Source organism: Homo sapiens, chromosome 9, assembly GCF_000001405.40.
Source record: "Homo sapiens chromosome 9, GRCh38.p14 Primary Assembly".
Classification (NCBI taxonomy): Eukaryota; Metazoa; Chordata; class Mammalia; order Primates; family Hominidae; genus Homo; species Homo sapiens.
The window spans coordinates 134145488-134160928 of NC_000009.12; the positions used below are offsets into that span (position 1 = coordinate 134145488).

The following is a 15441-nucleotide window of genomic DNA, read 5'->3' on the forward strand; positions in this document are numbered from 1 at the left end:
CAGTGAGTGCTTATGTGTAATTCTCACTTTGACAAAAAGGAGTGCAGTGAGCATCCTGTTTGCATCTGTGGCCGTTTGTGCGGGATGGCTTTGGAGGGGAAATGCAGTAGTCAGGATATGTGTTTAGCTTTTTGACAGGTACATTTTGGAGCTTTAGAGACTTAGAGGCATGTGGCCCCCTGCTCACTGCCTCCCATCCCTGTCCCCTCTCTGGCCAGGGTTTGCCCTCTCTGGCTAGGGCTCCTCGGCTGAGGGCCGCTGCCGACCCCCATCATCCACAGCCCTCGCGCCCTCCTTGCACCCGGGACCTGTGTTTTTCCTGCCCTGGAGCTTCTGCTACTGCTTGTCTGCCCAAGTCGACTCCGCAGAGCACTTGGAGTGCTCCTTGGCTAGGGGCCTTGCCATCCCCTGCTGGGTTCTGGCTGATTACCTTCTCTGTTTCTTTCTTTCTTTTTTTTTTTTTTGTTTTTTAATATTTATTTATTTATTTATTTTGAGACAGAGTCTCACTTTGTTGCCCAGGCTGGAGTGCAGTGGTGTGATCTCAGCTCACTGCAAGCTCCACCTCCCGGGTTCACGCCATTCTCCTGCCTCAGCCTCCTGAGTAGCTGGGACTACAGGCGCCCTCCACCATGCCCGGCTAATTTTTTTTTATATTTTTAGTAGAGATGGGGTTTCACCGTGTTAGCCGGGATGGTCTCGATCTCCTGACCTCATAATCCGCCCACCTCGGCCTCCTGAAGTGCTGGGTCTTTTTTTTTTTTTGAGACAGGGTCTCACTCTGTTGCCCAAGCTGGAATACAGTGACGCGATCTTGGCTCACTGCAACCTCCGCCTCCTGGGTTAAAGTGATTCTCCTGCCTCAGCCCCCCAAGTAGCTGGGACTACAGGTTCATGCCACCACGCCTGGTTAAGTTTTGTATTTTTTTGTAGAGACAAGGTTTCACCATGTTGGCCAGGCTGGTCTCGAATTCCTGGCCTCAAGTGATCCGCCCACCTTGATTTCCTAAAATGCTGGGATTACAGGCGTAAGCCACCGCGCCCGGCCTCCCTTATCTACCTCCTCGAAGTTAACTTTTCTGGCAGCCTTCTGCTGGAGTGCAGTGGATGGGCTGTATTGCCCCTTGCACCTGAATGTGGGTGGAATGGTAGAGCCAGGCCATGTTTGCCAGTGGGTAGTATTTGGATGTGGTTAAGAAGCTGAACAAAGCAAAGCATGGAGTTGGCCTTGTGAGTTTTGGGGACTTGTTTTGTCTTGTTACTGTTACATCCATCGTAATAGTCTCAATAAGAGACTGTTTTGCACATTTAAAGGTAGGGATGAATGTGGTTAGATGGATCACTGTGAGTTAGAAAAGTACTTTGAGAGGCTGCCGGCCAGATGGTTGCAGTGAAGCAGCTGGCACGGTGAGAGCACCCTGTTGGAGCAGAAACAGGTACTCACCCCTCTGTGTCTGCTGGAGAACATCTAGGGCTGCAGTACCCAGCATGCCCAGCATAGAGGCTGCCAGCCGCATGATGGCCCAGAGCTCAGGGCTGTGTGAGGTACCTGCAGATTTCAGAGACCTGGCACAAAAAAAGAAAGTAAAGTGTCTTGTAATAACTTTTTGTGTTGATTATGTTGAAATAATATTTTAGATACATTGGGTTACATGTTACCAAAGTAATTTCACTTGTCTTTTAAGCTTTTCTAATGTAGCTTCTAGAACAATTAAAATTACACGTGTGGCTGGCAGGCTCTTGCAGAGTCTAGCCTAGTGCTTCTCTGGGCGTGCAGCAGCAGGCAGCATGCCCCGGGGACCTGTTCGAAATTTATGTTCTTGGACTCCCCCTCCTGGACTGGTCAAATCAGAAGCCCTGGGGATGGGGCCTAGCAGTCTCTGCCATAGTAGCTCACCGGTGCCTTTGATGCATGTGGATTTGCCTCTGGGGACACATGGCAATGTCTGGAGACATTTTTGGTTGTCAGAGCTATAGGCATCTAGTGAGCAAAGGACAAGGTTGCCACTGCACAGGGGCAGTACCACCCTGTCCCCCCCGGAAGAGTCTGGTCTAAAATGTCAGTGGTGCCAAGGCTGGGAAACTGCTTCTACTAGACAGTAGAAGCAGACAACCTCAGTCCCATCCCCGAATCATTAAACCACGGCTTCCTTGTGTGGCTTGATTTCACCCAGGAAATGTTTCAGCACCCATAGCCTGAGACAAGATAGTTTCCAAAGGTGCTGTTTGATTGTGAGAAGGCTTATCCTTGGCTGGGTGCAGTGGCTCATGCCTGTACTCCCAGCACTTCGGAAGACCAAGGTGGGAGGATCGTGTGAGCTCAGGAGTTCGAGACCAGCCTGGGCAAGATAGGGAGACCCTGTTTCTCTTATGAAGAAAAAAAAAAGGGTGGGCGCGGTGCCTCACACCTGTAATCCCGCAGTTTGGGAAGCCAAGGCGGGTGGATCACTTGCGGTCAGGAGTTCAAGACCAGGCTGGCCAATATGGTGAAACCCCGTCTCTCCTAAAAATATATATATATAAAAATTAGCTGGGCGTGGTGGTGCATGCCTGTAATCCCAGTTACTTGGGAGGCTGAGGCACGAGAATTGCTTGAACCTGGGAGGTGGAGGTTGCAGTGAGCTGAGATCGCACCCCAGCCTGGGTGACAGAGCGAGACTCTTTCTGAAAACAAACAAACAAAAAAACATAACTCAGTCTTTTTTTTTTTTTTTTTTTTTTTTTGAGATCAGGTAAGAAGCAGTTGTGTCCCTGACTTGAAAGTAAGTTTTTGTCTCTTCTTCCTCTCCTTAATTCCTAGGTTCATTTTAATCGTGATGGATCCTTGATAGTTTCAAGTAGCTATGATGGTCTCTGGTAAGTGAAAACATTTTACTTCATGAAGCGATGAGTGCTTAACTAAGGGCCAGCTCTTGCACTGTTCCTGCATCTGGGGGTACAGCAGTGACAAAAGACCCAAGTCCTTAATTTCCGAAGCTTCTCTTCTGGCCACGCTGCAGACATGTTAGCAGATAGGCAGTGCAGTTTCGGGGTTGGCAGCACAGGTGGTGGGGCGGCATGCCTGGGAAGATGTCCTTGTTGTTAGGGTGGGTCAGGGAGGGCCTCCTCCATCAGACTTCAGCTCCGTGTAGACGCTGACGTGTGCTGTTCACACGCTCGTGGAAAATGGGTGTTTGGACCCCTTGAGGTGAAAGCTGTGCTGCTCTGGGAGGATGCTGAGTGATGCCGTCTTGCCCTGTGAGGATGCGTCACCATCCCGGGCAGGTGAACCCAAGCAGATGGCAGCATAGAGAAGGGCAGGAGGAAGAGTGACAGGGTCTCCTGCAGAAAGCCCACCTAGGTCTCAGCAGGTGTTTGTAGTGCTTGGACTTGGTAATCTGTGTCCAGCACTCCTCAGGAGACACAAGGGAAGTGGAGAAGTAGAGGTTAACTCAGCGAAATGTCTGATGGGAGCGAGTTGGGGGAGTGGAGTGTTTGGGTTGTGTTTTGGATGTGGGGCGGACACATCATAAGCTGTTCAGATTGGTCACTGGGGAGGAGGAGGACGGTGGCAGCCACTGGCAGAATTGAAGATCTTACTAGGACTTCCTGCAGGGAACCCTCAGGTGGACACGCACACTCGAAATCTGTTTCCCAGTCTGACTCCCCAGTGACTGTTGGCGTGGGGATCCCCAGGGGGTCACAGTCTGTAGTCGCCATGCATGACCCCCCATCGGTCTTGAGAAGACGGGTCTGGTGGGAGAGGGTCGTAGTCGAGTTGCACCCAACCACCGGCCTCCCATGGGCTTCACAGCACACACTTCCGGGCCATCGCCTCGCAAGGTTCAAGCTGCGGTTGCAGCACTGTGATGGCGTTTGGGGCTGAGGTCACTGGGATGTGCTGTGGCAAAAATGAGGTCATCCGGAGCCCCACATTGGCCAGTAGTCTCCACGGTTAAAGCCATCGTTTACACTTGACCATTTACCAGCTTATTATAAAGGATACACTTCAGGAACAGCCAGAGGGGAGGGGTGCACAGGGTGAGCTATGGGCGAGCGTGGAGCTGCCAGGGCCTCTCTGGTGCCACCCTCCCGGCCCCTCTGTGTGTGTGTCACCAACAGGGAAGTGAGCACGGGACAGTCTCAGAATTACTCATGGACCTGGCTCTAAGAACTTTCTAAAGAAATCAGAAAAAGTATACCAAGGAAATTAGGAGGGAAATGGGAAACAAATGAGAACATAGATGATATAAGATGTCTTCTTTGATGAGGCTAGTAATGAAAGCCTTTTAAGTCCCATAATGGAAAAAGCAAAATAAGCAAGATGAGAACTAGGAGGTGGTTGGAAGCACCGCAGCGGGAGGAAGCGGGAGTCAGAAGCCTCCGTCCAGCCTGAGCAGTGCCTCGGCTCCAGCAGCGAGCTCGGCCACAGCTCCTAAAGGGGCCCTGGGTATGGTGCCTTAAGGAGCAGTCACCGCTGAAGAGGCTGGAAAAGGGGATTGAAGGCCTGAAAAGAACATGTCCCCTGTGACTTTGTATCTGAATCCAGTTCAATAGTGAACTTTGAAGCTTATCCCAACGATTCGAGACCACAGGCGGGAGGGAGCTCCCTGGTTCATGTCTTTGGTTTTAGCATGAGCTTGCTACCTAAGCCTTGATTGCTGGTCCCAGAGGAAGACCACAGAGGGCAACTCACTGGTGAATGTTGATGCCAGGATTCCAGAGGAAGTAGCAGCCTCCTGAGCCTACCGTGCACAGAAAGGAATTCCCATAGCCAAGGAATTCATTCATTATTGGATAATGAAAGGATTATAACGTAAACATCAGGAAACCTATTATCTAATTCTACCAACAGATTAAAGGCGTTAAATGTCTCTGTCTGTTATTAATTAGTAGGGGTCAAAAAGGCGCCTGATTGATAATATCCAGCAGCCAACCCTTCAGCAAGATAGAGCAGTATTGTTGACCACTTACTGGTAACTAATAATTTTCACATGTGGCGACATGCTGAAACTCTTTCTATGAAAATCAGAAGTGGGACAGGTGTGCTTGGTTCCCATGTTACTCAGCATTGTTGGGAGTTTCTAGTTAGTGTAAGAAAATGAAAAAATAGTCCTATGAAAATTGAATAGAGATACACATCTTTGTAGATATGTTTGCATGTTTTAAAATATTTAAAAGCCACCAACACTGCTTTTCAAATACCCATTTAACCCTGTGACGTGGGTACTGTCAGCCTTGCTTTTCAGGCAGGGACAGTTACCACGGTCTCTCAGTTGCTCAGTGCAGGACCAGAACCCGTGTCAGCTCTGGAGTCTGGGCCTGGAACCCCCTGCCCTGCTAGCTACGTGGTGTGATCTCGCGTTTAGTGCCATCAGTGCTTGAAAATGGACTTTTTTCTGTATACTAGGAATTGCCAGTTAGAAGATGGGGAAAATGTTTCCATTTTAACAGTGACAAAAATGCTAAGATGTTTAGGAATGCGGCTAGTGAGAAGGAGCAGGACCAATGCAGGAAATGAGAAATGGAACTGAAAGGACACACGGGGGTTAGGTCTTGAGGGTTAGGAGATGAGGCGGCTCCGGAGAGGCCCTCCCGCAGTGATTGCGGAGCTAGAGGACATGAATTTGAGATCCATGGGGCAGCAGGATGGAGCTGTTGCTGAGAGAATTGAGAAGATGCAGAGTTGGGAGGAGAGTTGCTGCTTCTGGGTTTGAAAACCCTGGGTGAAGTGTCTGAGGTCCAGTGTGGTCTCGTCCCTGGATTATTGAAGTGTGGGCAGAACAGGAGGTGGGTGTGCAGAGCAGAGAGCTTCGGGGCCCTCCCAGAGGCGGCTTCTCCATGGGTGAGAGATGGGAGGGACCGTGCATGGCGGCCATGGGGTCTCGTGCTTGGGGAATGATTTGTCCACGTGTGACCCGAGCCTGTTCCCCGCTGCTGGCATCTGTGCAGTAGAATTGTGGGTGCTAACACAGTGGGCTCTGCTTCCAGAATGCGTCTGTATTGGCAGAAATCACAGAAACCCTGAAATTGGAACAATGTAAATGCCTGGCTTGTACCTTCTGGGAATAGTCCAGAAGACTGCTTACAATACTCTTAAATTTTTGTTTTGAAAGAAGCCCTCTCATTGCTTGCATGTGTTTGCATGAGCGTGGGCAGAGCCTGCGAGAAGCACTGGGCTGCTGCTGCCCCTCTCCTTGGCCAGGGAGAGTGGAGAGAGCAACAGGCTTCCCGCTCTGTGTTGGGGGTCAACTGTGGCTTGTGTAGGAGAGATCCAGAGGTACCCCACACATGGTCTGCACGTGTGTAGCATGTGTGGACTGTTGATGTTTGTATGGACAGTGTTTAGTCTTTGTCCCTAGAATATAAGAGAATGACTGTTAAACAGGTGAAGCATAACTTTTAAAAAAAGATAGGGAAAAGCGTGCTAGTCCTAAAATTTATATCTGACTCCCAGCAGCCCGCGTGAGATCATAACTTGTCTGCTTACGCTTTTTTGTTCTCTTTGCTTCGAAGTCGCATCTGGGACACCGCCTCAGGCCAGTGCCTGAAGACGCTCATCGGTGAGTGTGGCTCTGTGTGGGGGCTGGGTCTGTGGGGAGGGCCTCCCCTGCTGGGTTCACTGCCCCTGTTCTTCACCAGCTCCTCCTCCCTCCTCTGCCCTGGGTCCGCCCCTGCAGGAGGAACCTTCCTCCGTGTCCGACCGTTCCGCCAGCTCCCCCTGACCGCCCGCTGGCTCTGTTGCTCCTTCTGGTGCAGTTTTCCTGCCATGGCCTTTCTCTTGGGCCAGCCTGGGGCTCCTCCACCTGTGCTGTCGGCCTCACTCCGGCTGCTCACTGGAGTCCTCTGGGCAGCCCCATTGCCTCCTGGCTTCGGGCCCCTGCTGTCGTGCCAGCCTCTTGGATCATTCCTTGAGTGACCGGCTGAGTGCCTGCCCATCTGCTGGGGGTGCTGCCGAGGTGGATGGAGGTGTCCTGGGGGCACGGAGGACAGGCCTGAGGAGAGGAAGGAGGGACGTGGCGTGGCCTGGATGGGAAGGCCAGGTGCTGGGCAGGGTGTGGCCTGAGGGTCTGTGACGGCCCGGGGTTCCCAGCTGCCCCTTGCAGAGCCTGCAGAAAGGAGCGGAAGGGTTTTCATCCGGGGAGTGTTCGTGTTTAAGAAGCCTAGGCTAGATGTGTGGGATGGGGCGCACCTTGAGGAGGGAGCTGGGTGGTGAGGATGGGGGGATGGACCCCCGTGTGGGGAGGCACCCCGTTTGCGCCCTTCTTCCCTCTAGTCTGTCATAGCCTGCTGGCCTAGCTGAGACCAAGCCCCACAGGCTGGGAGGCTATCTGTGGCAGGAATGTGTCTCCCCGCAGTCCAGGAGGCTGTGGTCAGGATTGAGGAGGCCTCTTCTTGGCTTATAGACGCTGCCTTACCCTGGCTTCACACCAGTGTCCCTGGTGCCTCCGTGTGTCCAAATGTCCTCTTGTAAGGACACCACCCTTGGGCCTCATTTTCACTCTGTCGCCCTCTTTGAAGGCCCTGTCTCCAGTACACTCGCCTCTGAGGCTCTGGAGGCTTGGGCTTCAGCATGAGTCCCCTTGCCACAGCGGTCTTTATAGCTTCCTGCCTTGTGGGGCCAGCCTTTTGCCATGCATCTCTCCTGATTGAGATCACACCGCACTTGGTGTCCCCTGGACGGGCCACCTGTGCTCAGTTGTGTGCGCCGCTGTTGTGTGAGCACACGTAACCCTCACGGCCACCTCTGAGGAGGGGGGTTGTCCTCATCCTGCATAGAGGCTCATTCACTAGCCCAAAGCTCCACAGCAAGCAGGTGCAGGGACTGGGATTCCAGCCTGGGCGCCCCTGAGCCCAGGGTGGGGACGGAGGGGTCGCTGCATAGCAGTTTTCCCATCGGCGTCTCCTCAGGTCTAGCGAGTTAGACCCTTCTGGACTTCACTGAGACAGGTTGGCTGATGCGTTCATCTCTGTGAGGCTCTGCCCAGGCAGCCTGGGTTAGGCATGCGGACACGCTTGCCATCAGCTGTGTTAAGGGAGCCCGGCCCCCCGGCCCTCACTGTGACCTCGGCCTGCCTGGCGGTGTGACGTGGTGTGCCCCTGAGGGAGGGACCGCATGGCCTCACAGCGTCTCCCGTGCCTTTTCAGTGTATGTGACCGGGCTGAGGGAGCGGAGACGCCAGGTGCCTGGCGAGGCCAGGCGTCCCCGTGGTGGTAATGCTGAGGGCCGTGTCCTTCCCGGTGCTCGGGACACACCAGCGCGTGCACGTGCTTGGGGGTCGGTGGGGGTCTCTGGTGGGGCCCAGGGGTGGGGCCTGCACCAGGACACACCTTCCTTGAGATTCCCTCCTCCTCACTCAGGTGAGAGGAGATGCCTTCCTCCACTTCTGAGGGTCGTGGGGTTGCCATGTCCTGAAAACTCTGACCTGTACATCGACAGCTTCTGGGAACCTTGACTCTTTTTCAGCTGTGTGAGAAGCAGCGGCTCTGCTCTGCCCTCAGGGCTGCAGAGTCCAGCTGATAGGCCTGGGGCATTAGCTGTGGATGTGACAACAAACAGATGGGTTCTGTGGGTGCAGATGCCCCTTGCGTCGATAAATTCTTAAAGGAGAATTTCCGAGGTGATTCCCCAGCCCTCTTTGCTGCTGGTGGAGTTGTCCCTCTGTTGAGTTGGGCATTCGCCAGCCTTATCCATCCCCTGTGAGGCAGGTGATTCCTGAGAGTGCCCATGGCCTGGTGCCCCAGGAGGCCTGTATTCGTAAAGTCCTGGTGTCAAGGGGCCCCCGGGCCTATGGGCTTGAGGTGTCAAGAACCTGCTCACGGCTGGTGTGCGTGGCTAGGCCACCCTTCGGGGCGGCGAGGGGTGGTGGTGCTGGCACTGATGGTGGTGGCCGACCTCACTCAGATGTCGCACGTGGGGGATGGGGAGCGGGTCCCACCTCCTGTCCCTGCCTGGCTGTCAGCGCCCGCCGTGTGTCACCTGTCCGTTTTTATTGCAGATGACGACAACCCCCCCGTGTCTTTTGTGAAGTTCTCCCCGAACGGCAAATACATCCTGGCCGCCACGCTGGACAAGTGAGTACTGCGTGGGACTGTGGGGGCGGGCATGTGGCCTCCCCAGCCAGAGACACCTGCGTGCCAGCGTGAGCCTTTGGAGAGCGTGTTGTGGGCTTGGCACGGGATCCAGGCTCCTGGTGGAGCTTCGGCTTCTGGGCAGTGGCCTGTTAGGTCGGAGGGCAGGCCCCCGTCCATCCCTTCCCGAGGCTGAACCTCAGGTCCGACTATAGGAGGATTTAGGGTCCGTTTTCTGGTTGAGCAACTGTGGCCAGGGCAGGCCTAGCCATCCCGCATGAAGGAGTCGGCGGTCCGGGGGCCTCCAAGGCCCTTTCTGGTTCTGACCTCTGAGCATCTTGATTTTACCTCTCACAAAGCCACTGCCCTCCTGGGCTGTTCTCTAAGCTCCAGCTTTCCCATGCGTGCACCCTCAGCCCTGTGGGTCCGAGCCTGGGCCCTGATCCTCTGAGGGCTGTGTGGTTGGGTGGTAAAACCTGTTCTGGATGTTTCCAGAACCAAGAGGACTTCCTCACCCTTTTGAGGATGACCCGAGTCAGGGACGATAACACCCATCAGCTTCCTGTTAAAGTCTCTCTTGGAACTACAAATACTTGCGGCTGTCACACTGTGCTCTCAGACGCCAAGTCACTGGACTTTGAGCCTGAGGGGCTCCTTACCCTGATGGGGAAGGGGGTTCCAGCCCCGCTGGCTTTTGCACCTGGCGCTGATGGTGGCTGTGACGTAGTGGCTGCAGAGTTGGGTGTGGGGACAGAAGGATGCCTCCAGACATGCCGCCTCACCCCTCTCTCTGTCTTGCAGCACTCTGAAGCTCTGGGACTACAGCAAGGGGAAGGTGAGCCCCCGCAGGCTTGGGCCCCCATGGTGCACCATCCCTGGGTCATGGCCTCTGGTGGGGACAGAGCTGGCCCCGGTGATGACAAAGGAGAGGAGCTCAGAGAGCCATCTCCGCTGGGTTTGGTGCGAATTCCTGAAAGACCTGGGTATTTGTAGGGTGGCAGTCTGCAAGTTAAATCTTCGATTGTGTGGGTTTGGTACTTGTACTTTTCAGAAATAAGTGAAGTGAGTAGTGAAACGCCTTGCTTAGAACGTAGAATTACACAAAATCAAGGGGAACCATGACTCTGTGACCAGCCTGTCCCCTCCTGTTTCAGTGCCTGAAGACGTACACTGGCCACAAGAATGAGAAATACTGCATATTTGCCAATTTCTCTGTTACTGGTGGGAAGGTGAGTCTCATAACCTTGAAGCGTCTCACCTGTTCCCAGCTTACTCTCCCGAGAGGTCACACCTGTTACAGGTTGCTTTATACTCAGAGACACTTTTCTGTGCCCACAAAATGAATTTCCATTTCAACCAAAGCGCACTGCGCCAAGTACCGGGGACACCTTGTCCCGTTTGTTTCTAGGTCCATCTCCTTAACGGAGGCAGGCAGCCTGTTGTCGGGCTTTGCTGGCAGTGCTTGGTTGACACCTTCCGAGGGCGCTGGGACCCAACAGGTGGAGCTCTGTGTGCTCAGGGTGTCCCTGGGTGGGTGCGCTGGCTCCGGGGCTGTCGTCCACCGGCCCCAGCAGGGAGGGGAGTGTGTTTTCCCGCCCACCCACACTGGTCTCGATGCTCCTGTCTTAGACCGGGGTGACTCGGGCAACATGTGTGTGACACACAGACTCAGAAAAGGGTGACCTGAGAAGCATCTTCCATCCTGGAAGCCTCTCCTGGGGCAGGCAGGTGCCTGGCTTCTGTGAGCGAGGCCGGTGCTGGGATAGAGCAGGCGGGGCTGTCCCCATTGGGAGAGGAAGCCTCAGGCCTGGCTGGAGGGCAGGCAGGGCTTTTTGGTTGAGTTCAGCGAGGCAGCCACCAGCAGGGTGGGCGTGGGGCAGGGCATAACTGGAGATTCTCTCCCTTTCACATGCATGAGCTCTGACCTGCTTTTCCTTGCCCTGTTTTCCCTGCTTGTTGTTACGTAGTGGATTGTGTCTGGCTCAGAGGATAACCTTGTTTACATCTGGAACCTTCAGACGAAAGAGATTGTACAGAAACTACAAGGCCACACAGGTGAGGGCCTGCGCTCCTGCAGTCACTGGCTGCCTGTTGATGTGAGGACAGTTCCTGCAGGTGAAGCGTGGTGTGCCCGTAGGGTGCCGTCGTCTTCCCCTTCCCACCTCAGCCCTCCGCTGGCCCCGCTGAGGAACCGCTGCTAAGAGCTCTTGCCCAAGGCATGGAGCTGGTCACTGTGCTGCCGACTCAGACCCGGGCTCCTGGCTTGAACCCTGTTTCTCCCTGTTCTGCCAGGCATGCTGGTCCGGAAGGTGTGTGTGGCTGTGGGACTTTAGGTGGGTGCAGCCCGTCCCACGTCACGGCGAGCTCTGTTTCCTGGGCTGGGGACAGTGAGGTCATCGCTGCCCCATCCTGGAGGCTCTGGCTCCTTTCGGGTACCTGTTCCCTCTCCCAGAGAGACCCCCCAGCTGCATGCAGGCCTAGTGGGCTCCACGGCGGAGCTGGTTCCCAGGCTACCTGGGGTTGCCACCTCTGTGGGTCCCGGCTGCCCTCTGCAGCCGCCGCTACTTCCTCACCCTCTGGCCCTGCATTTCCACGTCTCATGGAGCCAACGAGAGCAGGGGGTTCGAGCCCTTGTGGAAATCTGGGGAGGCACTGCTTCTCCCTCCCTGTGAGCAGCTTCACCCAGCCTGGGGTCAGTGCTTACGCTCCACGGCGGGCCTGGGCCTTCCCCTGGGTCCTCGCCGGCGTTCTGGGGTTCTTTGGTTTACGTAGAAGCTGTAAACACTTTGATGTGGCCGACCTTGCACCACCAGTCTGTTAGTTCTGACCTCCCTGCTTGGGTGGTGGACTTGTCCTTGCTGTGACAGAGCCAGCCCTGTGGGGTGCTCTGGGGCTTAGCATTGGGGGGAGGCGGTGGGAGTGGGCGGCTCAGGGTCCGAGGAGAAGAGGGACATTGTCGATAAAGGACTGAGGACTGTGAGGGGTCTGACTGCAGTCCTTGTGCGCGCCAGCCTCTGAGCCAGTCCTGCTGCCGCGCTCCTCCTTGTGGGCGCCGAGCTGCTGTTGGTGGGGGCGTGTGGGGCTCCTGGTCTGCAGGCAGGGCTGGCACTCCCTGTGGCCTCCTGCCCCTGTCCCCCAACCGGCTGTGTCGCCCTGGTACCGGCTGCTGTCCCCTCGCTCCCCTCCCCTGGGCTCCCTGTGTCGAAGGTGGGCAGTGGGTGCTTGTCCTGTGACCTCCCAGGTGGCGGGCAGGCGCTACCCGCGTTTCTGGAGAAAGGTGGAGCTCAGTCTGGGATGGCGTCCCCGACCCAGGCGCAGGGATGGCTCTGGTTCTGACTGTGTCTTTGTTTTCAGATGTCGTGATCTCAACAGCTTGTCACCCAACAGAAAACATCATCGCCTCTGCTGCGCTAGAAAATGACAAAACAATTAAACTGTGGAAGAGTGACTGCTAAGTCCCTTTGCTCCTGCCCGCGAGAGACTGTCGGGAAGTTGACCCGGATTGGCAAGAAACAGGGTGTCTTGGAGGTGGTCCCCCAGATCTGCGCCTGGGGGTCAGGACAGGGCCTGATTTGAGCCTCCTCTCTGAAGATGATTTGGCCGAGCGGAAGGTGTGGACCACCGGAAAGTTCTTAAAAGTTGCTGGTGACATTTCTTGCCAATTCTAACACTGTCTAGGGAAGAGTTCCTAGTCTATTGTGTTCAAACAGAGTCAACAAAAGTTTTTAATTTTTTATTACAGAAGGGTGAAGTTCAATTTAACATGCGTTGTGTTTTTTCAGTAAACGTTCTGTATCTTTTTGATATTCCATGACCCAGTGCACGCTGTGGCCTGTCACCGCCACCGTGGCCCCGCCAGCTGGCCTCCCCTTTGGCCCACGCCGGCCGCCCCCATTCTCTGCTGCGTAGATGCCCTGGCCCAGGGCCCTGACTCCTCCATTCCCGCCAGTAGCTGTTCCTAGTGTATTTTCGTCTTTCTGGAAAACAGCATTGAGTGGTTGTTTTCTGTGTAAAGAGCCGTTTGTGTCTTGGGAGTTTGTGGCCCACATGCCGATAGCACGGTCATCGCACATGACTCTCCCGTTTGTCTCAGTGTCCCTGCAACAAGCAGCACCGCAGACTGTAATAAAAGGTGGGGTTTTGTGAATGGTTGTGGCAAGTGCGTCCTTGTGAAGCTCGTCTCCATGTGGCTTTCTTGGAGAAAGGCTCCCCTGGGGCAAGAGGGTGGAAGGTTTCTTTGGACAGGAGGTGCTGAGGCTGGCTGCACCTGCTCTCTGAAGACGCCTTCCTCTCTAGGTTCATTGTTCAGTGTTGCTGGGGGCGGGGAACGGGGGTGGGGAGGTTCTTAGTTGCGAAGGAGCCAAGCTCCTGATGGACTTGCGTTGGGATGTGGGGGACACCTGTGGCATGGTAAGGCTCCCTGAGTCCCTTACTCCAGGTCAGATGCCAGTGGGACTCATGCGCCCTATGAGGGCTGCAGGGCCAGTGCTGCCCCTCGGACTCCTCGAGGGGTTGGGTGCTAAGCGCGAGCCTCGCCGTCCCTGCTGGAGCCCTCGCCTGCCTGCCCCTCTGCCTGTGCTCCTGGCAGTGTGGCTTCCCGGTGCTCACCTGCACAGCAGTTAACAGCAGAGGCCGAGCGGGAGCCTCTGGGGAGCGAGGCTGAAACCTGAACCTGCCCATGGAGACAGTTGTGGTGAGGGTTGCCACACACAGTGAGGGCGGAGCAGGGTGGCTGAGGGCACAGGTGCCTGGGTCTGTCCCACGGGGCAGGGCTTTGGGGCTGTGATGCTCTGGGAAGCCAGCTTGGGTCCTGGGTCTACAGAGGGCCCTGGCCCCGGAGCCCAGCCAGCTCTGCCTCTCTCAGGGCCTGGAGTCCTGGGGGAGCTCAGCCAGCTCTGCCTTTCTCAGGGCCTGGAGTCCTGGATGAATCCTGCAGGTTTTTGGTTGCACCGGCCCAGGGAGGAAGCGGGGGGTTTGTCAGGTGGGCTCTCCTGGAGGTCCTCGAGTGGCAGGGGTGAGGAGGGGATTATCTGAGGCATCTGGAGATGTATATCCTGTGGTTTCCCCTGCCCCTCTGTTTCCGATGAGGTGTACGGATGAGTGACCTGCACTAAGAAGTGAGTTGCCACAGTGAAAATGGGTTGGTTTTTGTCTTCGACGCTCAGGGTCTGGGCGCCTCGCATTTGCAGTCTGTTGTGACAGACACGGGGAGCTCCGCGTGCCAGCCTGTGGCTGCCCTGCTGTGGGGGTCCTGGGGCCGGCGAGGCCCCTTCAGTCTTGTTCTGGGGGGACGGCCCACTCCGGGGAGGGGGTGTGCTGTGCTGAGCGCTGTATCCCTGAATATAGTTTATTTTTTCTACATTTGAATTCTGTTGTAGATTTATGTAAAAATACATTCTTTTTGAAAATAAAAATTTTCATGTCTTCTAATTTAGTCTGGTGAGAATTTCTTAACTTAAAACGTAGCTGTCTCTGTGGGGTGGGAGGGCGGCCGCCCTGGGGCTTTGTCCCCGGTGGTGGGGGTGGTGTCTGGTGAGCCAGGGTGCCCCGCAGGACAGTCCTGGGTTTTTACAGTAACCTTAGGAAAGTCATCTATTTGTGCTAATTATTCTATGTATTTTGTATTGGTTTTTCCACTCTTAGGTATATACCTGTGTGCTAATTACTGACAGTGTTAGGCAGGTAGGCACGGATGAGGAGAGGTCCTCCAAAGTCCTGCTGCCACCACCATGCTGGGGCGTATCTTCCAGGATATGCGTTATAAACTAACAGGAGCTTTCAGATGTGAAGAGTGTGGCGCCCCCCAGTTTCCTGTCCCTGCTGCAGGAACTTCATCGTTGTTCATCGGCTCCTCCTGTTATTTCAGTACAAATCCCAGACATTCTACCATGTAAGTGGTGAACGCATGGTATCTCAAAACAAGTCTCCAGAAGCATTATTACCACAATGCCATTTTCATACCAAAAAAGTTCTCCAACCCCCTGCCTTTTTTTTTTTTTTTTTTTTTTTTTGAGATAGGGTCTTGCTCTGTTGCCCAGGCTGGAATACAGTGGTGTGATCATGACTTACTGCAGCCTCAACCTCTTGGACACGAGTGATCCTCCCACCTCAGCCTCCCAAGTAGCTGGGACCACAGGCACATGATATCATGCCTGTCTAATTCTTTTATTTTTGAGACAGGGTTTAACTCTGTCACCCAGGCTGGAGTGCAGTGGTGCCATCTCAGCTCACTGCAATCCCCACATCCCGGTTCAAGCGATTCTTGGGCCTAGCCTCCCGAGTAGCTGGGATTACAGGCCCGGCTATTTTGTGTATTTTTAGTAGAGTTGGGGTTTTGCCATGTTGGCCAGGCAGGCCAGCGAATTTTTGAATATTTTTATTGCAGAGACA

At 54.8% G+C, this 15441-nt stretch overlaps 1 protein-coding gene across 14 annotated transcripts in view, besides 2 other annotated features; it reads left to right on the forward strand.

Annotated features, from left to right (window-relative positions):
• WDR5 (WD repeat domain 5) overlaps positions 1-14481 on the forward strand; it is a 24770-nt gene extending 10289 nt beyond the window's left edge. For all 14 annotated transcript variants that reach the window (NM_001384414.1, NM_001384413.1, NM_001384410.1 and 11 more), the window contains 7 exons: positions 2801-2856; positions 6496-6542; positions 8979-9054; positions 9853-9886; positions 10206-10280; positions 11019-11106; positions 12406-14481. In NM_001384414.1, the coding sequence (NP_001371343.1) occupies positions 2801-2856; positions 6496-6542; positions 8979-9054; positions 9853-9886; positions 10206-10280; positions 11019-11106; positions 12406-12506 (477 nt within the window). In that variant the 3' untranslated portion in view covers positions 12507-14481. The remainder of the gene's footprint in view (positions 1-2800; positions 2857-6495; positions 6543-8978; positions 9055-9852; positions 9887-10205; positions 10281-11018; positions 11107-12405) is intronic.
• Positions 6379-6899: an enhancer, noted in NCBI's record as "H3K4me1 hESC enhancer chr9:137016988-137017508 (GRCh37/hg19 assembly coordinates)". NCBI's record gives its function as "activates a minimal SCP1, AML or CMV promoter by ChIP-STARR-seq in naive H9 embryonic stem cells {active_cell/tissue: H9 hESC(naive)}" and the evidence as "EXISTENCE:reporter gene assay evidence [ECO:0000049][PMID:30033119]".
• Positions 6900-7419: an enhancer, noted in NCBI's record as "H3K4me1 hESC enhancer chr9:137017509-137018028 (GRCh37/hg19 assembly coordinates)". NCBI's record gives its function as "activates a minimal SCP1, AML or CMV promoter by ChIP-STARR-seq in naive H9 embryonic stem cells {active_cell/tissue: H9 hESC(naive)}" and the evidence as "EXISTENCE:reporter gene assay evidence [ECO:0000049][PMID:30033119]".